Below are 1559 nucleotides of genomic sequence, written 5' to 3' on the forward strand. Positions count from 1 at the left end.
GTTCAACCCACAAAAATATGGTGCGGAGAGCATGAGCCAAGGCAATGACGGACAGGGAGTTGAGGCAGTCTGGCAATATTGACAGAATGGAGGGGAATTATGAGAGGGAAAGTAGGAAATATAGGAAAATCCAGGGGGAATTGGTGTTGAATTAGGGACACAGTGGAAAGCCATGGAAGGTTTCTGAGCAGAGAAATGACCTTGAACTTCAGAAGGTTACGGCCATCAATGGCAGAGGCCTAGATGGAACCATGGAGGAAGCTTGAAACGGGGAAGGAGAAAACAACTTTCTAAGCCACCTATGCAGCCTCACTGGGTCATCAGTTCCTGGGCTCATGATAGCCCTCTTCTGGGACCAGCTCAAGAAAAGCTCTCAGAGCTAATAACTTTATGTTGAGTCTTGTGTAAAACCAGGTTGGATTAATTATTGATGCAAACTTAGGCAAATGAAAGCTCCCTCTGGCTTGGCAAGGTTCCCCTCAGCAAAATTAGCTTAAGCAGCTCTGGCTGCTTCCTGGGGAGAGGCACACGTCTGTCAGCGGCTCGCGACCCACCCACAGGGACACGCACATGCAGGGGCTTTGAACCTCTGACTTCAGATCTGTGCCCAGAATCTCAGCCGCCCCCACATGCCATCTGGGCTGGGGGTGGGGAGTAGGCCCAGAATGAGCAAGGAGCTCACACCCAGGCCTCCCGTGGATTCCCTTGCAGAACGGCCATGCATGGAAAACAGTATCGGTGGTAACAACCTCGCAGATTCAATTCCATCCCGTTTAATTAAATGGCTTTGGTGCTCACAAATTGCAGCAATAGATGCGAGCTCATGCCAGACACACAGCTGCAGACCCGCAGCACAACGCACTTTGGAAGATGCAGCAAAGGTCAGTCACTGCCCCGGGGAGGGCCCAGCACCAGACAATGCAAATGAGAAACAAGAACACACTCCAGTCCACACCGCCTCCTGGAGTGAACAAGTTTCATTCAACGACTTCTTTCACAGACATTTATTACAATTCTATTACGCACCTGGCCCTGTTGCAGGTATTGGAGGTAAAGAGGTGAAAGAGATGGCCTTGCCCTTAAGAAACCCCAAATCTCCTGGGAACATGGAGGAAAAAACAGACCATGACTTGTTTTTACTTGGTGTTTTTACAGGACAGCCTGGTCTGAGAGTACCAGGGAAGGCCTGGAGGGCAAATGGAATGCAAGAAGTGAGGATACCCTCTCAGCTGTACACTTGCATTCCTTGCCTTATAAGCCATGCCAAGTGTTTGGACATTATCCTGAGTAGACGGCAGCCACTGGAGGAAGGGGAAGATTAAGCAGGGAATGTATTTATTAAACACACTCAATGTCACAGACACCATGCCCGTGCTCAGAATGCTGCAGGAAGCAAGGCATTTATAGTTCCAGTCTCCTCCCCCTCTAACAGTTTCTCCCCTGCCTTCCAGGCAAACATCAAGCCTATGAAAATTCTAAGATTCTCCAGGCAGACCAATATGAAGGAACAGAACCTGAAGCAGGTCACTTGAGGGAGACAAGTAGAAATGCAGCATTAG

At 49.3% G+C, this 1559-nt stretch overlaps 1 annotated feature.

The window, feature by feature from the left end:
• Positions 668 to 1168: an enhancer, noted in NCBI's record as "H3K4me1 hESC enhancer chr9:122760507-122761007 (GRCh37/hg19 assembly coordinates)". NCBI's record gives its function as "activates a minimal SCP1, AML or CMV promoter by ChIP-STARR-seq in naive H9 embryonic stem cells {active_cell/tissue: H9 hESC(naive)}" and the evidence as "EXISTENCE:reporter gene assay evidence [ECO:0000049][PMID:30033119]".

Source organism: Homo sapiens, chromosome 9, assembly GCF_000001405.40.
Source record: "Homo sapiens chromosome 9, GRCh38.p14 Primary Assembly".
In the NCBI taxonomy this organism is placed as follows: Eukaryota; Metazoa; Chordata; class Mammalia; order Primates; family Hominidae; genus Homo; species Homo sapiens.